The following is a 23,719-nucleotide window of genomic DNA, read 5'->3' on the forward strand; positions in this document are numbered from 1 at the left end:
GGGTAATTCATAAAAGAAAGAGGTTTAATTGACTCACAGTTCAGCATGTCTGGGGAGGCCTCAGGAAAATTACAATTATGGCAGAAGACAAAGGGAAAGCAAGGCACCTTCTTCACTAGGTGGCTAGAAGGAGACGTGCCCAACAAAGTGGGAAAGAGCCCCTTATAAAACCATCAGATCTCGTTTGAACTCACTCACTATCATGAGAACAGCATGGGGGAAACCACCCCCATGATTCAACTATCTCCACTTGGTCTCTCCCATGACACATGGGGATTATAGGGATTACAACACAAGATGATATTTGGGTGGAGACACAAAGTCTAACCATATCACAGTTGTATATGTTTTGGCCTGCAGGATTTTTCTTAATGGTGAGACACAGTTTCAAATTGAGAGGTTTTCACACTTCTCTTGAAAACTTTGAAAAGCTAGAAATACTGAGCCTGTGTTTTGTTTCTACCTGAAACCAGCTGCATAGCACCCTTCTGGATAGAACATGGTCTCTATGACTCATCCTAGAGTTCTCTCCTAGGATTGTCAGCCATTTAGGCTATTTAACTGGGCCCTATAGACTCTTTTCATGACTACTGTGGTTACTATTACTATTGTTTGCTAAGAGTTAAATCTTTAAGTATGAAAATGAAAATGTTTCTGAAGAATTGATATGGTTCGACTTTGTGTCCCACCCACATTTCATCTCAAACATTAATTCCCATGTGTCAAGGGAGTGAGGTGATTGGATCATGGGGGCAATTTCCTCCATGCTGTTTTCATGATAGTCAGTGAGTTCTTATGAGACCTGATGGTTTGAAAAGAGGCTCTTCACCCTTTACTCGCATATCTCTCTCACCTGCTGCCATGTAAGATGGTGCCTGCTTCCCCTTCCACTATGATTGTAAGTTTTCTGAGGCCTCCCCAGCCATGCAGAACTGGGAGTCAATTAAACTTGCTTTCTTTATAAATTACCTAGTCTCTGGTGGTTTTCTTTATAGCAGTGTAAAAACGGACCAACACAATAATCATAACTAATATCAGACACCTCAAAAATTCTATGTTTAAGAAAATCTTTTGCCTTTTAAAAAAAAATAGTTTCAGAGCATGTTTAGTTTCACAGCAAAATTGAGTGGAAAGCATAGAGTTCCTATATATCCTGTGACCACACCCATGTACAACCACCCTGCCTCTATCTGCTATGAACATCCCACACCAGTGACCTGTTTGTTACAGCTGATGAACCTGCACTGAGACATCATCATCACCCAGAGTTCATAGTTTACATTATTGTTCACTCTCAGTGGTGTACAGTATATGGGTTTTGACAAATGTTTAATGACATGTACCCACAACTATAGCATCATACAGAGTAGTTTCACTGCCATAAATATCCCCTGTTCTCCACCTGTTTATCCTCCTCTCCCCACTAACCTCTGGCAAGCACTGATCCCTTTGTCTTCATAGATTTGCCTTTCCCAGAATATCATATAGTTGGAATGATATGTAGCCTTCAGATTGTCTTCTTTCACTTCATAATATGCATTCAATCTTCCCCTGTGTCTTTTCTTAGCTCGATAACTCTTTTTTTTTTTTAAGTGCTGAATATGGGTTCATTGTTAGGATGTGCCACAGTTTACCCATTGAAAGGTATTTTGGTTGTTTAATGGCTTGGGCAATTATGAATAAAGTTGCTATAAACATTTGTTTACAGGTTTTCTTGTGGGCAAAAGTTTTAAACCCATTTGTGTACATACCCAGAAGAACAACTGCTAGATTGTATGAAACATTTTTCATTGCTCTCTTTTTGACTGAAGCCTTATTGAAGGGTAGGATAGAGGGATAGAGGAGTTTTTTTCAATAGAAAGTTCATCTCAGAAGGCAGAAAGCAACCTGAGTGGGAATTTGACAAGTTCAGGCTTTCTCTCACCTGACACTAGAGTGCCTGTTTAATTCAGAGCTAGAACACAACTTATTATTTTTTCTGTGAAACTACAAGGCATGAAAGTAAAAGCAATGGTAAACTTTCAGAGCACAATGCTACCTAGATTTATGTGGCCCATGACATTTATAATTAATTTTTCAAAATTTATTTCTTATTTGAATCATCGTCTGTGTGACAACTTAAGAAGTCATTGCTAGGGACCAGTAGGAATCAGCTAAATAAATCATATCATATCTCAATGAAACTCTCCATTTGGCCCATGTTAGATTAATGAAATACTCAGGTATTCTAAGCTGTGTTTACTGGCTTTGTGTCAGGTAACACTACTTAGTATACTAATGGAGAAAACTTTCCCACCCTTTGTGGTTTCACAGCAGTTTTATTTTCATGGATGATATGTAATGTGCTGCCAACACTCTGACCTCTCGTTACAGCCTGAAATTTCTTATCAGTTTTATTTTAGAAAAATAAATTGCAGAGAACACTTCCTAGACTTCAATGCTAGGAAACATGCTGGCACGTGGTAAGTTTATTCTCATATTTCCATTTTTTAAAACATATTTGAAATTACCATAAACTCTAGGAAATGGTAGCATTTCCTTAAGAGGTAAGAGTTGATAAAGGTGAATCTTCACCCACAGTTCCTGTAAAAAAGAGGGATTAGACAAGTTATCTATCACCTTCAAGAAGTTGTATAAATTACCTTGTTTTTATTTAGCTCATGAGCTTTAATTAAATTTTTTTATTAAAGCTCATGGGCTTTAAATGATGACATTCATATGGCATCTGTTGATGTGAGAATATAAGGCCACAGTTAGAACACTGGTAACATGCAGAAAAAAATTCTAAGGTTTAGATAAAATCATTGGAAAGAGTGTTTCTTACTTTCTTACTTAGCTTTTCCATTCAAGATGAATAAATGCTGCCTTAACACTAAAGAACTTTATTTTCGAATAGTTTATGGTATGATTTAAAGTTTTTACTTTAAATCACAAATGGTAATAGCATTGTCAGGAGACAATGACACATTAAATATATTCAGAGCTTAGTATTGGGAGGGAATTTCGAGGCATTTGATCTAACTACCTCAGTTTACTGGTGAGAAATCCAAAATCCACAATGGTTTCAGATTACCTATGAATGTAATATTGGCCTCATAGGTAATATTGGCCTCAATCCAATTCATGAGATAATTGGTTAAGTGAATGTGTGTCTACAAACACAGTGCAGAAAGCCAAGAAAGTGTAGCAAGCACAGGAGAAGCAGGAAGGCATTCTATTCCCTGGCTTAGAACATTTACTAGAATACAACCTTAACATTCAGAGTTTTCAGATGATGCTTAAGGTTTCATTTGCTAAACTAGTAGCTATATCTTCACAGGCAAAGATAAATTAAAACATATATATGTTTTCTGAACCCACTGCTATTTATTGATGAAGGCTAAATGGCCAATTGAAGACAAACACATGGAAATTAAAATCTCAGATAAAGTTGAAAACAAATGTTGAGACATTTGTTTTGGTTACTGAAGCCCAATAAACAAACACTTTCCAAGGAAGCTTCCCTGTTCCATTTATTTACTTATTTTTGGCAATCTCTGTTCACGTTTATTTTTCCACTTGTGCAACTACACAAGAGCTGCTCTTAAAAGACATTTCCCAGTGCAAACAGAGCTGTTGCTTCCACCTTTTGTATTATTTCTACGTTGTTAATTCTTTTGTAAAGTGGTTTAGACCACATTGATTAACTGACAAACACTCCACAGCCTGATCTTAATCTCTCATACTCTATCCCCTTGTCCTCTCACTGCCCTCAAAACCCAAAGCAGTGAGAAGGAAACAATACATAGGAAAACATTCTTCATTTATTCATTTGTTCTCTCTTTCAAAAAACATCTCCTTCATGCTAATTTCCTGCTGCATGCCATATTAGAAAATAAAGAAACAGTATATTCTATGTCAGAAAAAAACAGCATTGAAGGAAAAACGTAGACACCTAAGTGACCAGCCCTCATATTTGGCATAAGAAACATTTTAGAGCCGCTTTGACAGGAGACCTAAAGGACACTTTACTCAGAGAGGGGACCAGGAAAGCTCTGGCAGAGATAATGGGCCCCCACTCAACAAGAGTGCTAAAAATAGCAGTGAGAACAGGGACCCCACACAGGCGGAACAGTGTGTGCCAATGCGCAGAGGCAGGGGCCGCCTGACATGGTAACCACTGTCGCCGGCAATACAGGGATGCCCAGTAATGGCCATGAGAAGCAGGCAGGTATTCCTCATGTGCAGGAAGTGCACGCCTGGGCAAAGCCAAGGGCAGCAGGTCCTCAGGGAGTGATGGGAAACGAGAGAGAAGCAGGCGAGCACAAGGTGAGGTTAAACAGGAAGACGCACAACGTTTAACAAACCCCTGGACTTCACCACCACTGGGAAAATCATAAAGAAGAGCTGCCTTGATTTACTCACTGTTAATGTTAAACATTTCTAAAGAGTAGACCAACAACGCAGAAACATGTATATGGAGACAATAGCGAGCCTGGGAGTAATTTTTGGCGTATGACAAAAGTGGTATTTTAATGTAAAGAGAGACATTATTTAATATTTTTTGTTGGCTCAGTCAATTTATTAATACACTATTTTTTGGATCAGGGTTTGGTTTTCAGAAAAATGAGCAGAAAGTGCAGTGTTTCTATACACACCTTCATGCCTCATCCCCCTTAGTAAGATCTTGCCTGAGAGAGGTACATCTGTTATAATTGACGACCTTGAGTTTGGTGATGGCTTTTTACATACAACACCAAAAACACAATTCAGGAATTAAAAAAAAAAGGTAAGCTGCACATCATTAAAATTAAAACCTTCTGCTCTGTGAAGACCATTAAAAGAATAAGAAGACAAGCCACAGACTAAAAGAAAGTATTTGAAAATATACCTTTCTTATAAAGAGCTGGTATCCAGTTCCAAAATATACAAAGAACTCATAAAACCCAGGAAAAGAAAACAACGAACCCAATGAAAATAGGGGTTTTTAAGATCAGAACAGACACCTCATCAGAGAAGATATACAAAAGGAAATTAAGCGTGTTATTTTTAAAAGAGTTGTCTTCACTTCGCACCCTAGAGCTAGCAAATTGTAAATTGATAAAAGCTTTTAAGGTAAAACATACAAATATATATATATATAAGGCCTGTTTTGTTAGTATACAATAAAAAAGCCTTTCTCAGCCTTAGAAGACACAATAGAGCCAAAGACTGATAAGTCTTACTGCATAAAAACATAAGAAAAAAACATTTTTTTCATCAGAGACCACAATAATATTGTCCTGCAGTATTTTTATAGTACACTGCACATATTTTCTCTGACAGAGTTCAAGAAATATTTGCATTCCAAGACTTCAAGATAAAAAAGCCACACAGGCCCTGAAGCAGAGCTTACGTCTCCTGGAGCGAAAGTAAGTAAAAATCCCCTGTATGTAAGAAAATCCCTTCTAAGCCATTCTTGTCATGCTTCTTATTTTTTATTTTTTATTTTCTTGAGTCAGGGTCTCTCTGTGTCTCCCAGGCTGGAGTGCAGTGGTGTGATCTCCACTCACTGCAGCCTCGACCTCCCAAGGCTCAAGTGATCCTCCCACCTCAGCTTCCCAAGTAGCTGGGACCACCTGCGTGTGCCACCACACCCAGCTAATTTTTGTATTCTTTGTAGAGATGGGGTTTCACTATGTTGCCCAAACTGGTCACAAACTCCTGGGTTCAAGGGAGACGCCATCCTTGGCCTTCCGAAGTGCTGGGATTATAGGCATGAGCCACCTCGCCTGGCCCTTCTTGCCATATTTCTGACATTCTTTCTGTGCATGTGAACTGAAGTCTTGTATTTTGGAACCAAACCAAATGTTTAATTAAAAAGTGAAATGAATACTTCTTTATATCTCACTTCTTTCATCTCAACCTCAAAGAAGCAAGAGTGGGAGGGTGACAAGATGATAAATTAAAAAGCAAGAAGCCCAGACACCTCTAGGGATTCACAACCTCCACATTTGTCCCCAAGTGGCACAGCTGTGTGATCCTCAAACAAGACTACACACAGAGGTCCTGTAGATGGGAGCTCAGCAACGAGGGTTATCTACTCTTTACATAACATCCAATTATTTTTCTAATTCTGAGACTTGGCACCTTCCTCCAATATTATGAGCTAACAATTGACATTCCAGGTATTATTCTCTGCTAGGAGTAGATGTGCTCAGTCCCAATGTGCTGACTTCTTTCTAAGCCTTTTGTTCTATAAAAGATGTTCCTGGGCATCAAATTCAATTTTTGTAGAAGGTACACAGGATTCTGTGGTTAAGAAAAGCATTGATATGTTTTGTACCTAGCAAATCTCAACACAGATTTCGACCTAGTGCTGTCTTCTGCAAGGTGGTGCATATTACAGGTCTAGAACTTTACAGATATTATAATTGTATACAGTACGATATACACTAAATTCTCCATATTGATAATACATAGTCACTATCAATTTGTTAATGATTTTGCTTTTCTCTCAATTCATATTTATCAAAACAAAATTATTCTTAAAATATATTTCTTCTAAGGATTCTTTGCAGACTATATCAAATTTTGCCTTTAAATGTAAGAACATCTCTGACTAATGGCAATGTAACCTAATCAAGGGTATTAGAGGTGAATAAAAGACATTAAGATTGTCTTTAACATCATCATGTTTTTGGAAAAGAAATCCATTTGTACATGAGGAGACACCTTTTAATACTTCACTGTGGGACCTAAAGCCACCTTTAAAATATAGAGTAAAAATCAGAGTATTCATCCTTGATTTTAACTGTCCTTCTAAAAGACCAAAATTTAGAGAATTATTTTGTTAAAAGAACCCATAAAACAAAATCCTGAAGGATAAATAAAGACCCAAGCTATGGATTAAACCCAAGGTCTAAAATTTATCATTAAAAATTATAAAAGGATAAATAATTTATATGCTTTCTTCTAAAAATGAGATCTTGTCCATTTTTTTACTATAGTCTTTTCCTTAGTAGAAAAAAGAATTAAATATAATTTAGAAATGTCCTTGTATTAATCAAAACTATTTATTAACATGAAGTAATTAAACTTGAATGAAATCGTGCTATGATTTGCATAAATATTCACATCTAATGTCATTTATGAACTAAACAATTGAGAAGAATATTAGACACATTTTCCAGTTGCAGAAAATTAGTGTTAAGAAAATGCTATGAGAAACATTCCTTTTCCTCTGTATCAAACTTCCAAAACTCTACTCTCTATATAAATTCTCTAAACACTTCCTACCACCATGATGTAAAATGAAAAATCATATTCTTTTCTGACATGCATATTTTGTTTTCAATTAGGTCAAAAATATTTTCAAGTTTTCAAAACTTTTTTTTGAATTATGCTAGCAAATCTCAACACAGATTTTCACATGGTGCTGTCTTCTGCAAGGTGGCATATACCGTAGGTCTAGAAGTTTACAGATATTGTAATTGTATATGGTATAATATACACTAAATTGTGCATATTAATAATACAAAGTCATTGTGGATTTTTTAGTGTGATTTTCCTTTTCTCTCAACTCATATTTCTCCAGGCAAAAAGAGCCAACAGAATTCTAAATTGAACTAAGAAAACAAACAGACACTGGCTCTTTTCCCAGCTTTTGCCCTGGTCTCAGCTCCCAGCCCTTCTCAATCATCTCAAAGACTGAGTTAAAAAAGGCAGTAGGTTATTCACATTCTTATGTTAAGGTAGTCCCTTATTTACCCGTTACATATTTTCCTTGGCTTTTCAAACATTGGCTTTGACCCTCATCTTCCTAGTATTTCCTGGGAGGCTGAACCCTACTAAGGAAAGTTTTCTCTATTTACCCATAAATGTGTGAATTCTGCCATTTTGTGTACTCCAAGTTAAAGATCATTTTTTTTGTGTGTCCTACAGTAACTATAAATCACCAGCAACCTTCAAAAAACTTTCTGATATTCCAAAGAAATGCAAATACAAAATGTGAAGTTCGAGCAAATACAAAGTTCGTATTTTGCCTGGTTCTCTAAAATGAAAGAAAAAAAAATAAACTTGTGTCTGAATTAATGAAATAATCTAATTATCAACTAACATACAATGCATATTACATATATTTGAAGAAATGTTAGATTACATCAGAAGTTACATAAGTGCATTTATTTATACAACCACCCAACAAAGATCAATTGCATATGAAATAAGTAAGAGGAAAATAAAAGAAATGGGTATGTGAAATGGGTGTAATGACACATGGCAGGTGGTGAAGGGTCAACTCAGCAGGCCCAGGCTGCCCAAGCCCTGCCCATTCAAAATAAAGGCCTGTTTCATGAGGACTGGCCCCTGCCTGGCTCCTGGGACATGCCCTCTCAGTCACTGGAATACTCTGCCCTATGAGAGCAGCACTATGTCTACTCAGCTAGTTCCCAGAGAAACCCTAGACACGAAGGCTTGGGTGAGCTTCCTTGGCAGCTACACTTTGTGGGTGTTGTCTCACTGCATTGCTGAGAGAAGCATGTGCTGTCTATAGAATTTCACTGGGAGACGGTAACTGGAAGCTTGCACCTCATTTCTCCTGGGCTTGCCCTATGCACCTTTTCCCTTTGCTGATTTTAATCTGTATATTTTAACTGTTGTAAACCACAATCATCAGCAGCATACAGCTTTTCCAAGTCCTATGAGTCCTTCTAGGAAATCATGGAGCCTGAGGGTGGTCTTGGGGAACCCGGACACACATGGATGTGCATAGGATGGGCAGACACATAAAAGCAGAGATAGTTCCGACGGATTGAGGGAAGAGGTCAGAAGATGTATGGTCTGAATCTTGAAGAGGAAAAGAACAGTACTTTCATCTCTGCGTATCTACTAATACCAGATACAGTGCTTTGTGATTTTATATAAATTATTTTATTTAATATTCCTAAATGTTTTTTGACATAGGAATTATTATCCAACTCTATTTTACTAACAATTAGGTTTACAGTTAGAGTTAATCTAATAAGAATCACACATAGATTAAAGAAATGGATTTAAGGTTCCAAGCTATGTCTGTTAGACTCCAAGGTTTGTGTTTCTACACAATTCTATGGGCCCAGAGGGCATTATTCTATGTAACCTGTTAAGTAAATTGCCAATATCTGGGAGAGGGTACAGAATAGAGAGGAAGGAAAGGATGTTGCTGGACCAAATAAAAAGCATGCATATCAAATTTTGAAATTTACTATGTAGGAGATACAGGTATATTGAGTAAGAGAAAGTTTTGTTGCTGTTGTTTTGCTTTGTTTTTGCCTCCAATAAGCTTCTAAACTGAGAAGCATGAGAGTGAAAGATGAAACCGATGTACAGGTATTATAATATTAAGTATTTGAGGATAAGATACTTATGATATATGACAAAAGCCTTGTTACAGAGGTTCAAAAATAAGGACAGGTGTTTGTGGAGAGCAGACAACATCCACAGATTAAAGAGTATTCAGTAGAGAACAGAAGATGTAGAATATTTATATTAGCAAGGAAAAACAAGAGGAAAAGGCATTCCAAAAAAGCAGATACCATTGTTAATGCCTTACATCAAATCAGAAACTGTGCTTGTTGCTTGATATAATGATAAGGAAGGCTCAGTTTCTTGCCCTTGGGAAGTTCATAATCTAGTTTTTAAAAACTGATGTGTAACCAAATCGTTTCAATAATAGATCTTTATCAGAAAAGAGCTAAGAATGAAGGGCTATCCACATTGGAACAGAAAACCTACTAGTTAGGTGTAGAATAGTAAGAATGTCTTTCCAGGTTCCAATCCACCTGCCTGACCCCAAAACTCATGCTCACAACCAGGCAAGTGGGTGAGATTTCCAGCTCTACCATTTCCCAAGCTATGTTACCTTTGGCAACCTATCTAAGTTCCATGAATGTCTATTTTTCTCATATGTAAAACAGAAATGCTTTTATTTACCAACTCACATTAAAAAAAAACTGTCATAGTACAGTGAGTGATATGCAACAAACACTCAATAAAAGTTTGCTGTTACTATTAATACACATGAAGATGAATGAAATTTAAATGAGAAATATTTAAGTGTGGAATAGATGGTATGGATTTTAGAAGGGGGCAGCACCAAAGTCACACTGAAGTGTCAAAACTAGGGAGCTGGAAGAATGTATTAGACTGTGAGCTCTCAATTACTGTACGACTTTTATATGGATTTTTTGTGTTTTCAGAAATCATGCCATTGTTTAAATAAATGCAATACAAATTTTTTTTTTAATTTTTTTTTGAGACGGAGTTTCACTCTTGTTGCCCAGGCTAGAGTGCAATGGCGCAATCTCGACTCACTGCAACCTCTGCCTCCTCAGTTCAAGCAATTCTCCTGCCTCAGCCTCCCAAGTAGCTGGGATTACAGGCATGAACAGCTACGCCTGGCAAATTTTGTATTTTTAGTAGAGACAGGTTTTCTCCATGTTGGTCAGGCTGGTCTAGAACTCCTGATCTCAGGTGATCTGCCCGCCTCGGCCTCCCAAAGTGCTGGAATTACAGGCATGAGCCACCACACCCGGCGGCAATACAAATTTTTAGACCATTTTGTTGAGGTATGCTCAACATACAAAAAGCAGTATATATTTAATGTATACCACTTGATGAAATTTCAAGTAAATAAAATAAGTATTACCTAATCTGATCTCTATTCTGGAGTCATTATAAGATAGGCTTTATTTATTCATTTATTCATTTTTTTTCACTATTGATTGATCCTACAGGTCACACTTTGCATTTTTTATTAACTTTACATTTTGGTATATAAACTTTACTTTTAACATTTATATGTTTAATTACAGCATAAAAATCAGCAAGTCTGCTTCATGATTTTTAAATTATTTTTAGCTTCTATTAACATTATGTGAAACTTTGGTACGGTCACAGAAGTTTTCAATTTAGATTTTTTTAATATAAAAGGAAATGCTACATGGTCCCTTGGTTTATTAAATATCTCACTTTTTGGTTTGTTAAATATTGTCATGTTTTTAATATATACTACGAATCAAACTGTATAATTATATATATATATATATATATGTCTCTTTGTTTACTTTTTTGCCTAGCATTCTTTATAAATCTTAAAGTTTATACAATTTTTTTTACTCTTTCTTTACCCTCCTAATTTAAGTACTTGTTTTACCTATCTTAGCACCTGCCTGGGTCTCTGTGCTCTGGGAAAACCTCTATCACACAAGATTCTGATGAGCAAAGTAGTTCAGAGGAGATCTATCAGACTGCTGTCTTCACTGGTATATATAATGTGCTAATGCATTCCTTATGTAATGAGCTTCATTTTCACCAACCAGAACTTGGAATGGAATCCTACTCCACACTGGCAATGATGCTATGGCTGTTGATGAGATGGGGCACTGGGGAGTGTATTTGTCTGGTGGGGCTGTCATAAACAAATACCTAACGCTAGGTCATTTATACACAACAGAAATGTCTTGCTCACAATTCTGAAATCTGTGAGGTCAAAGATTAAGGTAGCAGATTTTGCATCTGGTGAAAGCCTGTTCCTCATAGATGGCCCCTTTTAGCTGTGTCCTCAAATGGTGAAATGGGTGAGCAAGTTTCCTCAAGCCTGTTTTAATAAGGCACTATTCACATTCATAAGGGCTCCACTTTCATGACTGTATTAGTCTGTTTTCACACTGCTGATAAAGACATACCTGAGACTGGGAAATTTACAAAAGAAAGTGATTTATTGGACTTACAGTTCCACGTAGCTGGGGAGGTCTCACAATCATGGCAGAAGGTGAAAGGCACGTCTCACATGGTGGCAGACAAGAGAAGAACTTGTGCAGGGAAATTCCCCTTTTTAAAACCATCAGATCTCATGGGACTCATTCACTACCACAAAAACAGTGCAGGAAAAGGGCTGCCCCCATAATTCAATCACCTGCCACCAGGTCCCTCCCATGACATGTGGAAATTGTGGGAGTTACAATTCAAGATGAGATTTGGATGGGACACTGCCAAACCATATCAATGACCCAGTCACCTCTCAAAAGTCCTCACCACTTAATTCTATTGCATATCAGTGATTAGATTTCAAAATAGGAATTTTGGAGGTCCACACACATGCAAAGTCTATAGCAGGGAGCAAGTTCAATAATGACATGGATAAGGTAATAAGGGTAAGAATGGCTGAGGTGGAAATCAGGGTTGCAGGACATGGAAGATCCACTCAAATGCAGGTCTCAGGAGTGACTCATCTGGGGAGAATGTCTGCCAAGCATGTCAGAGACAGGGTCTGGAGCAAATGAGTCAAGGCACTGCCTGCTTCCAGGTAGGACAACAACTGCCTTCGTCCTTGTGGTCTACAGCATATGGAAATCTTATAAAATCTTCAGATTTTTAGTTGTTTCATCCATTCAACTTCAGGCAGAAGCAGAGATTGAGAGAGTTTATTTGATAATTCAGAAGCACATTTCTTGAAATAAAAAGAAATTAGGCTAATCTGGAAAGGAGATCTGAGTTGTAGAAAATGTCTTTGTATTATAAGATTCTGGAGAATTTCTTGTAAAGTGCTGTTTCTGGTTTTGTTTTCTTTCAGGGTGTTGTCTCGGTTTTCCTCCCTATTTTGGAGTGTGTGGTCAATGTGCAACCAGGGTATGGGTGTGGAAAACGGCTTCTTGCTTCTTTTAAATTTCTCTGTCAACTTTATTTATTCTGGCTTTTTCATTTATGTATGTCCATTTTATATTGCACTTAACTGACAATGATGCATAGTAATTTCTTAAAGATTTTACTTCCCCACCAAACTTCACTTGAAATATTTGACCACTTTTTCTAAGGAGTTTTTTTCATCTGTTAATTCAACATATTCTTGAAATGTATATATGAATTCTTGATCGACATTTTAATACATGTTGGTAGTCTTTTGAATTTTGAGAGCAGATTACATAATTCCATGTTGACATAGAAGTAACTGAATCCTGATGACATTTCTATTACAAGTAGAAATGATAAATATCAAATTAAAATCTGTCCGATTTTGGCACCTAAAATAGATATATACTTTCATTACTAAGAGACTAAGGTTAAAAACATTTCATCTTAATTTTCTTAATTTGAATTAACCTTAATTTCATGGTTAAAAAAACAGTTCCCCAGAATAATTACCACTACTCCACATTCTTCCATTTCTATGTGAAATATATTAAAATTTTCATGATCTACCCACAAAGGGATAGCAGCATATTCAATCCTACTTGCTCTTCTTGAGTGTTGCCATAAAGTCAAGCTACTGAAATCCATAATAAAAATTTCATTACCTTCTCCTAATTTTTTATGATTAATAAAAACAAATTAGCAATTAAGAAATTTATTTTATTAATATTGCATTTAGTAGGGGAAATAGCCATATGAGAGGCAAATAAGAACAGTGAAAAGTCAAATACTTTAAACCATCAGTAAAATTCTTATACGATTTACAATCAATATTCAAGAAGTATTGGCCGGGTGCGGTGGCCCACGCCTGTAATCCCGGCACTTTGGGAGACCGAGGCGGGTGGATCATGAGGTCAGGAGACGGAGACCATTCTGGCTAACATGGTGAAACCCCATCTCTACAAAAAAATAAATAAATAAAAAAATTAGCCGGGCGTGGTGGCGGGCGCCTGTAGTCCCAGCTACTCGGGAGGCTGAGGCAGGAGAATGGCGTGAACCCGGGAGGCGGAGCTTGCAGTGAACTGAGATCGCGCCACTGCCCTCCAGCCTGGGCGACAGAGCGAGACTCCGTCTCAAAAAAAAAAAAAAAAAAAGTATTAAAATCAGCAACTGTCTGGCAAAAACAGTCAGAGGCCTGTTCTGTACCTCTGTCTGTTTTTCTGCCATGGAAAGGCACTTGATTATCGCAAATAACAAACAAATTTCTGATGTATTTTACAATTCACAGAAGAAAATTGTAGCGGTTATTGCTTTAATTTAATTCAACCCTAATTCATTAAAATTTACTTGTCATTACCTAAGGCAAAATGGAGGCCACTATGCCAAAAAGTTTGATTCCATTCAACAAATATTAACAGGTACAAAGATGTATACATGACCGTTTTTCCACTCTCATAAACTTTGAAAGCTGGAGGAAAAATAGACAGCAACACTCACCTGTGTACATGGAAGAATGAAAGGAAGGCTGACCACCCACTGCTGTCAATCTTTATAGCCACAACTGGTTAAGAGGGGTTGATCCACTTCAATTGTGTGCAAGTTGCCTCTTTTTAAAACTAGCCATTGTAAAAAGTATGAAACTACAATAAAATAGTAAGTAAATCAATTTCTATTTTCAACAGTATAGCTGACCAGACATAATTTTAAAGCTCCGGATATAAAATATGTAGTTTCTGATTAAAATTATTATGTAACAAACACTGTCAAATGTTTTAATGAATAACTGAACTTCTGGAAGAGTAAGAGAGGAATCGAATATGCAAACAAATAGTTATAATAATGGGTGATTTTAACATTGGGAGTATGAGAAAAACATTTTGGCAACAAACAAGAGAGAAAATCCTAGTATTTAAAGAAGATAATTATTTTATAGGTGTATTTGCATGGTATGGAGTCAAAGTACACACAGCAACACAGGCATAATTACCTATTAAAATAAATATATTTTATGATTATCTAATAAAGATACAACAGCATGATTATAGTTGGTATGTCTTGCTGAATTTTGAGAAAATTTTCTCAATAAAATTTTTGCCATAAAATATGAACTTTAATATTTTCCAAGGTCTCTGAGGTTTTACTTTTACCGATATACTCACTTTTCTAAAATGAGCTTCAGAATTCTACTTTATATTTTTATACTCAGTTTTAAAATTCTACTCTATATTTAAAAATCAGTCATAAAAAAAGGTGTCATAAATTTCTCCTATTCAACAAGGTATTCTATTTTAGAGCGCATTTATTATTTTTCAACCTAAGCTGCATATAAATTCTTTAAATATGACCTTTGAGAGAGAAATCAAAGATTTTATCATTTACAGATGATACTTCTCATACGTGATGCTTCTTATAGACGATGCCTCAAGTTTTATTTTAACAGTTATAGATAAGAGACATGATTGTTATATGCCCAATTATGGCAGCAGAAAAAAAATGGAAGTGTCCACCATGTGGTTGTAAAGTACACTTGGCCCTACGTGTCCATGGGGATTGATTCCAGAGCCTCCCTTGGTACCAACATCTGTGGATCCTCAACTACCTTACATCAAATAGTGTTGTATTTGCACACAATCTAGGCACATCCTCCTGTACACTTTAAATCATCTCTGGATTACTTATAATACCAAGTACAATATAAATATTATGTAAATAGCTGACACACTGTATGTTTAAGTTTTTTTTATGTTTTAATATTTTTTATCTGTAGTTGGTTGAATCTGTGGATGTAGAACCCGTAAATGCGATGAGTCAACTGTGTATCTTTTTTTTTTTTTTTTTTTTTTTTTTTTGAGACAGCGTCTCGCTCTGTTGCCCAGGCTGGAGTGCAGTGGTGCGATCTCAGCTCACTGCAAGCTCCACCTCCCAGGTTCATGCCATTCTCCTGCCTCAGCCTCCCGAGTAGGTGGGACTACAGGTGCCTGCCACCACGCCCGGCTAATTTTTTGTATTTTTAGTAGAGACGGGGTTTCACCGTGTTAGCCAGGATGGTCTCGATCTCCTGACCTCATGATCTGCCCGACTCGGCCTCCCAAAGTGCTGAGATTACAGGCATGAGCCACCACGCCCGACCAACTATGTATCTTTTTAATCAAGATAAGTTTATGACATCCCTCTTAGGTAATAAATCAATATTTATAATTGAATCTCACAGTAATTGTCAAAAAAATTTAAAAATGCTAGAATAATAAAATCTTGTCTGGAAAGGTCTAATGGTCCCTAACTTTACTTATTTGCATATGGTTGTTCTTAAACTATTCATTTTAAATTTACTTCCTTCCTTATTTGACACTTTAGTGAGGTAGCAGAGAAAGGATCCAAACATTCAATGCTTTAGGACACCTATCCTCAAAAGTTCATGGTTGAACATTCTTTTATCTTTCAGGCAGAACATAAGTCTCATCTATGCATGCAGATAGTAGAGCAAAAGTCTACTTGGCTACAGACAGTCAGACACATTTGTTCATATGATATACTGTAAATCCAGGGAAGTCACGAAGTTTTCTTTGCATTGCTCACTTTTGGTCCACTACCAATAAAGTCAAAGGTTAACTGAGGTCAACGTTTCACTTCTAGAAAGCTGTCCTTCAGAAATAGTCACACAAATACACATACATACATGTACAAAAATGTTTGTTGGAACATTATTTGCAAAACTGAGGGAGCTGGAAAAACCAAAGTGTCCCTTAATGGCCAATGCTTAAATGAATTGTTTTACATGCAGTCCATGACATACGATGAAGACATGAAAAAATATTAACATAATTCTGTTTGAACTGTTGAAATGTTTTGGAGTCAGATAATGATTTTATATAGTCATATTATTATAATATAATACACATATACATGTATACTTATGTATACACACAAAATAATAATATAAGATTATTAATAACTACGATCGTTAATAATTTAAAGGGTGACTTTCACATATTTTACATGCTTTTATATTGTGTAAGTTTTGGCAATGAGTCTAGTTTGCTAAAATGAAGGCCAAAAAACTGGTTTATGATTGAGCAAGAAAAATCATTCCCACAGCTGGAAAATATTCTTCAAGAACTATTTGCAGCATGGTATATTATGATATTGTGATATGAAGTCACTCTTATCCAAACCCATTGATAAAGCTGGCCATCCTACTGGAGAGGCTGAAAGAGAAATCCATGCATCTCTAGACTGTATAACTTATGGCATGTGTGTGCGCATAACGCTATTTATTGCCGTAACCAAATTACCATGTGAGACACAAGTTACATTGTGATCATCAAATTGGCAATTTTTAAAAATGCGGATTATATTCCTTCTAAAATGCTAATTTATCTACCATATTTCTTAAAAAATAAGACACATGTACATATAAGAAAGAGCATTTTGGCCATGTAATTTTAGAACTGTCTAGGGCAGAAGCAGGTGCAAAAGAAGGGAGGGATGGGGTTTGCAGTTGGGTCAGGGGATGGTGAAATGAAGTGAAGGGTAGGCAGGGGCAGCTGGTCAGGAGGCAATTACAGCACAGTTTCTGCTGTACATATTCTAATATTGTGGGACTTATTTAGAAAGTGCCATGGCGTGGATATTATGTAAGTTTCCAGTATGACTTTTAATTACTAAGAAATTATTGGTAATTTATTATATGTTGGCTTCATTGATGTCTTATTTTGACTTTTTGTATCCACTATAGAAACCTCAAAAATAAGCTCTCTAATCAATGTGCCATTTGGGAAGAAATGTTTCTGTTTTGCTATCTGAAGAATTAGATCTCTTCATTCATAGAGGAGCAGGGGATAAAATGAAAATATAAGATAAGTACCCTTCTTAAAACATGGGGTATCCCTGTGGCACTTAAAATTATTCAAGTCATTTATGCATTATGACATCTCATCCCAATGTATTATTTTCTTTGAAAATGGCAGAGAAGAAAAAGAGAGGAATATGTTTTTGTCTCTCCAATTATTAAAACAGTCAAGAAAAAAATGTATTAACCTATTCTGTATATCCCTGTGAACTTACCAACAGTACTTTTTCTGTGATTCATCTAGTGCTAAAATACAGGCTCCAAAGTAATCATAAATACTTCAGATATAGCCAGGCGCATTGGCTCACGCCTGTAATCTCAGAACTTTGGGAGGCTGAGGCAGGCAGATCACTGGTCAGGAGTTCGAGACCAGCCTGACTAACATGGTGAAAGCCCGTCTCTACTAAAAATACAAAAATTAGCCAGGCATAGTGGCGGGCACCTGTAATCCCAGGTACTTGGGAGGCTGAGGCAGGAGAATTGCTTGAACCTGGGAGGTGGAGGTTGCAGTGAGCTGAGATCGTGCCATTGCACTCCAGCCTGGGCAACAGAGCGAGACTCCCTCTCAAAACAAACAAACAAACAAATAAACTTCAGATAACACTGGGGCTGTGATGGTTAATATTGAGTGTCAACTTGATTGGATTGAAGGATGTGAAGTATTGTTCCTGGGTGTGTCTGTGTGTGTGTTGCCAAAGGAGATTAACGTTTGTGTCAGTAGACTGGGAGAGGCAGACCCACCCTCAACCCAGGTTGAGGGTGGGTGCCATCTAATCAGCTGCCAGTGTGGCTAGGATAAAAGCAGGCAGAGGAACATGGAGAGACTAGACTGGTTAAGTGTTCTGGCCTCCATCTTTCTCCCGTGCTGGATGCTTCCTGCCCTTGAACATAGGCCTCCAAGTTATTCAGCTATTGGACTCTTGGACCTATACCAGTGGCTTGCCAGGGGCTCTCGGGCCATTGACCACAGTCTCAAAGCTACACTACTTCCTGACTTTTGAGGTTTTGGGACTGGGACTGGCTTCCTGGCTCCTCAGCTTGCACACGGCCTATTGTGGGATTTCACCTTGTGATCATGCAGGTCAATATTCCTTAATAAACTCCCTTTCATAGATACATCTATCCTATTAGTCCTGTCCCTCTAGAGAACCCTGACTAATACTGGGGAGAAACAGAAGCATGCTCCTCTTTTGCTGCTTTTTTCCTTTTCAACCTGGAATTTGTCTTTTCTATTCCCAAGCACTGCTCACTTTCCCACTTTTCCTGAAATGCCTTCATCCTTTCCTCTTGAATGAGCATACTTTCCTCAAGGATCAGTTCGAACACAGCATCCTGTATGAAGCTTTCTTTTGTGTTTACTTTCACCTTACATAGATTCTCCCTCTGGAATACCAATGCTTCCCTTGTGTACCACAGGCTTTTCTGTTTTTACACTGACTGATCTTTTTCATGAGTGTAGGTCTAGATTCTTCAGCGCCAGGGTCCTGGAAAGTAACAACCATTTTACTCATCATCTCTAACATTGGGGTTTTGGACACACCTGGAATTTGATAACAAATTCACCTGTTTGCTTTGTTGACTTAGAATACAGGAACGTTAATTTCAGTAAGCTCCTTAGAAGTCTCACTCTGATTGTATTTCATGTATGGCAAGTGTTCTCCGCGTTCTCCACCAAAATTAAAATAAAACGCAAGGTCAGCATTTTAATTACTCTCTAAGTCACCCAAGATACAGTTATATTGTAATATAATTTCAACAAATGGTGGTTGTTTCTCTGAAGAAAACAGGACATATGTCTCATAAAATACCATGGCACTGCCTAAGAGAAGGTAGAGGGAAGGACCATTGAAACAACAATTTGCTTATGGAAAAGAGAGGCCAAAAGATAGTAGTAGAATTACAGAAGCAGACCATCTCAGATTTAGATTCTCATAGTCTTCATTTTCACTCCATTCAGCAGACGCCCTTCCACCCTGCTCCCTGCCCCAATGGTTTGTACTGATTTACATACAAAATTCTACCCAAATAGTTCTTCTTATTCTCCCACATTCAAGGGGAAACAAAAGTGCGACTTCTCCCAACCATCTGGTTTCAGTGGCTGTTGGCTCCGGTGATGACAGCGGGGCCCTACACTGTCCCTGCACCTGCTTCCTGTGCCTTGTATGTGTTTTTCCCTGTATATGAACAAGGAGTGTTAGGAATAAGGGATAAGGACATGGTCTCCCCACAGTCGTACACTGGGACCCTTGCAGCTCCCTCCCTACCCTTTATGAGAGACAATTTCTACTCCCTTCTTCTCTCAAGTGTTGCTCCTTTGGGCACACTCTATTGACTACTTTTCTCAATAAGAACATTCAGAACTGAATAAAATTTTTTTTTCTGAAATTAAGGGACAGTATAGGATAACAACAGGCATATAAGTTATTATAGTAACTCAAATCCCTAACATTGTCAATGGAACAAGGACTAAATTTCCCTTTTCAAGGGTATAAACTGGAATGTTACAGCCAAATACTAAACAAAATACTTTTGATGTGGTCCAAACACAAGATAGAACTATATTTCATACTATCATCCAGAAACTGTACTTTTAAGAATTGTGTTAGTTTTTAGCTCCTGCCCCACACTGTTGTTGGAATAAGCTGGATTTCTATGTCATTTGTTCACAAATTGCTGTCAAGTTCTGATCTTTCTCATATTGATACTCGTATGGTTTACTAGAACTAATACTTAACAAAAATATGCTAGATTATTTGAGAGAGAAATGTAATAATGTCTTCAACATACTTTAAAATGGGTTAGAGAAAAATACACATACATACATACAGAGAGAGAGAGAAAATGTAGCAGAATGTTAAATGTAGGTGTTTATTGTGTTATTCAATCAATGTATCTGCAGGCTTGAGATTTTTCATAGTACACAGTCAAGAACAAGAGATTTAATAGTTATGGGAGGCACTATCCAAGTACGTATATGGGTAGAGACAGATCCTACCATGGAAGTTTTTTTTGTTAACAGAAGGTAGACATTTTTGAAATGAAGTGTATAATGTCTGTGCCTGGGTTCTTTTGTATACTCACAAGTATAAGACATATTCTCTAAGAAGTTATTAGGCAAATATTGGTCATATGCTTTCCTTCTTTCAGGGTCCCTAATTTCATACCAGTTTGAAAGCTTTCTGGTTCTTTTAATGAGGCTGTCACATTTTCCTGAAACACAAATCAGAGCACGTCATCTGCTAAGTGTCAAGTGGCCAGCAGGGTACAATATCTAAACTTGCTACCACCCAGGAAAATAGAACAAGAGGTTCTCATTAGAGAACCAAGAAGGGCACTCACATTTGAGAGAAGAGGCCAGAAGAGCTGAAATGTGAAAGGGAAACAACACTACAGGCCCCATCATTGGAAGGTTTGTCATCCGAACATTATATTTGAACTCGGCTATCATTCATTGAACACATGTGGAAAGCACTCTTCAATTCTGCGTATAGCATTTTGTGTTCATACAGCCAGGTACTGAACAAAACACTTTTGATAGGGTCCAAACACAAGACAGCACATTACTGTATTTTATACTATCTTCTAGAAACTGTACTTTGAAGGTTTGCGTTAGTTTTTAGTGTCTGCTCTACTACTCTTGAAATCAGCTGAACTTAGATGTCATTTATCCACAAATTGCTGCCAAGTCTGAGCTTACTCAGTTTGATACTTGTTCTGTTTACTAGAACTAATGATGAACAAAAATGTACTGGATTATTTGAGGGAGAAATGTATTAAATGAATTAAATGAGGGAGGATGTTAATTACTATAAAGTTCTTGACCAAGTTGGAGATTTCTTGGGGTAATAAGAATTCACATTTCAAATCAATGATTTAAAAATACTTGAAGAGCCAAGGAATGAACTAATAAAACTAGGCATAATTATAGCCTAATTTTATGGTAGAAACTACTAAAGAAATTCTCAGGGAATTCTTGTCTCTTCTAGTCAATAAAATGAACACAATTAAATCAATAAAGATTATTTCCTCATATAAACTATTTATTGAGAGTTGTTCAACCAATACTATGTAGGAAACCAAAGACAGAGACACACATACCTAAAGTCTTCATCCAGTGCTGCCCAAATACAATTTCCCTCTTTTTTTCCCCATGGACCCAGGAGAGTTATAAATAGTAAGAAAGAATGTGAGAAAAAGCAATCCCAAAACCTATAAATCACTGGACATAATGCTTCTGAAGACAGATTCATTGAGAAGAAGAGATTTAAGGTATGTAAACATCTATATTCTTTTGAGAAATGTATCAGTACTTGGGTGACAGGTTTAGATCTTGAAAAAATAGATATTTGAAAGGTATAATATTTTAGAATTCATGTAATTCCTTTTGAGGACAGCATCTTTGGATTACAAAGAGTGTCCTGCCATTGCAGGCAGCCGACTTCTTAAGTCTAATTTGATGTCTCATGCACGCAAATAACCTTTCTTATCAAATCCACTCATCAAAGGCGGTGATTATAAAATAAAATATTCCAAACTAGCATGCAATGTGCTATAAAGAGTTATGATACAAAGCTTTAGAATTTCTGATTTCCCTTACCAAATGTCTGACTAGATCCTTAACCATCTGAGCATATTTTTTTCTCATGTGTAATGTATAAGAAAATTAAATTAGATTAAGAGCTATTTTGGCTGAAAATGTATATAATCCTGCCTTTAAAAACAGTTGTATTATTAAATCTATCTAATTATTTTAATATATTTTAAGCAAGTTATTCATTCTAACAGTAAGAACTCTATTATTTTGATACCTGAACAGTATCAAACCATCCAAAACATTTAGCATAATCTTTCTCAGAGGAGTGAATAAAGTTCAGATACTTTTTGACAATTTATTAGTTCTATTTATAAATACACCTCACTTGCAACACGTGGAGCTGCAAATTTTTGCATTTAATATCATAAGGTTGTGATTATAGATTTATATGGGAATCCTTAATGGACTCACCTAGTAGAAATTCTCTGGCAGCAGAGACAACCACAGAGACCCTCTGCTGGGTCAATTAATACAAGTGTTCTTCTAATGAGCCAAGAGGTATTTAGAAGCTCAGGGATCAATTAATTTGTAAGTCAATAAACAATTTAGGAAAGTAAGTAGAGAATTAAAATGGACAATATTTTTTTAGAATACTAGTCATATTAATATGACCTTAAAAATTATTTTTATGCAATGCTTGAAACTCTCACTAATGGCATTTGCAGTCAGGGAAACTGAGTCAATAAAAAGTCTAGTGAAATAAAAGTCATCTTTGTCTTCTATTTCAATTTCTGAAAAATAGAAATTTGTACACTTGAACTTTCAATAACTTACTGTGAACTGAGACCTCAAGGAGTCCCATAGTTTAATAACGAGGACCAAGAATCAGGGTCTTCTGCATCAACCTGACTTTACTATCTGTTTCACAAATATTTGCTCAGGAAGATAAAGCTGTAAGTCAGTAAATAACTTCATGGTTGGCTTCAGGAGCTTTCCCCAAACCAACAGATTGCTCAAACAGCACCCCTCTCAGCAAATTGCTCTTTTATAGAACAAATGTTTATTTATCAATATTTGCTTCAAGACCCTCACCTCTAGGAGTCCACTAATCCTAAATCACAAAATCAGGACCTTGGGCCAATCCTCCTAAGGTCCCTATAGGGAAAGATTTATCTTAAATAACTTGAGTCCAGACCTCAAAAAGCCCACAAATATCCATTCCTAGGCCCTCCCTTCTGAAAATTACTGAAAGTCATCTTCTTGTGATCTTCCTTACTGGAAGCAATAAACTGAGCTTTGCTTGATCAACAGGTTACTCTTGGTAGTTGCTCAAGACAACCTTCATATCTCCTCCGTGTGACTAAATTTCAGACAAGTTTCTTGATTCCAGGACTCTTTTTTTTAAAATAATTTTTAAGAGCATTTATTTTAGGATTGATTAGGGCAGGAGGCTTTAGAAAACCTGTAACTAATTTTTTTTCCTGCCGCTTAAAGGTGTATGTCTTCTTCCAACCTGCTGCCAGGTTTTCAACCCAGGAATGTCTTTCTCAAGGACCTACAAGCCATTCCTTCGAAAAGTAATCATCAAAGAAGATAGAACTTCTATCTCCCAGTCCTTATAGGAGGGTAGAAGCCTAACTTCAGCAGATGCCTTGCTTCAAAGTATAAATGCCTCCTGTCACAGAAAGTGTATGATTTCTCCACAGAAG

At 36.8% G+C, this 23,719-nt stretch overlaps 1 protein-coding gene and 1 long non-coding RNA gene across 2 annotated transcripts in view, besides 1 other annotated feature; both read right to left on the reverse strand.

The window, feature by feature from the left end:
- Window positions 1–23,719, reverse strand: part of NALF1 (NALCN channel auxiliary factor 1) — a 703,987-nt gene that overhangs the window by 290,776 nt on the left and 389,492 nt on the right. The gene's annotated exons all lie outside the window — the stretch shown is intronic.
- Window positions 3,744–4,245: an enhancer, noted in NCBI's record as "H3K27ac hESC enhancer chr13:108110377-108110878 (GRCh37/hg19 assembly coordinates)". NCBI's record gives its function as "activates a minimal SCP1, AML or CMV promoter by ChIP-STARR-seq in naive H9 embryonic stem cells {active_cell/tissue: H9 hESC(naive)}" and the evidence as "EXISTENCE:reporter gene assay evidence [ECO:0000049][PMID:30033119]".
- LOC105370353 (uncharacterized) lies at window positions 11,699–15,515 on the reverse strand. Its single transcript, XR_931714.3, has 2 exons — window positions 14,125–15,515; window positions 11,699–12,965 (listed from the first exon to the last, which is right to left on the reverse strand). It is a non-coding gene; the product is annotated as an uncharacterized LOC105370353 (long non-coding RNA).

This window comes from Homo sapiens, chromosome 13 (genome assembly GCF_000001405.40).
Source record: "Homo sapiens chromosome 13, GRCh38.p14 Primary Assembly".
Taxonomy (NCBI): domain Eukaryota; kingdom Metazoa; phylum Chordata; class Mammalia; order Primates; family Hominidae; genus Homo; species Homo sapiens.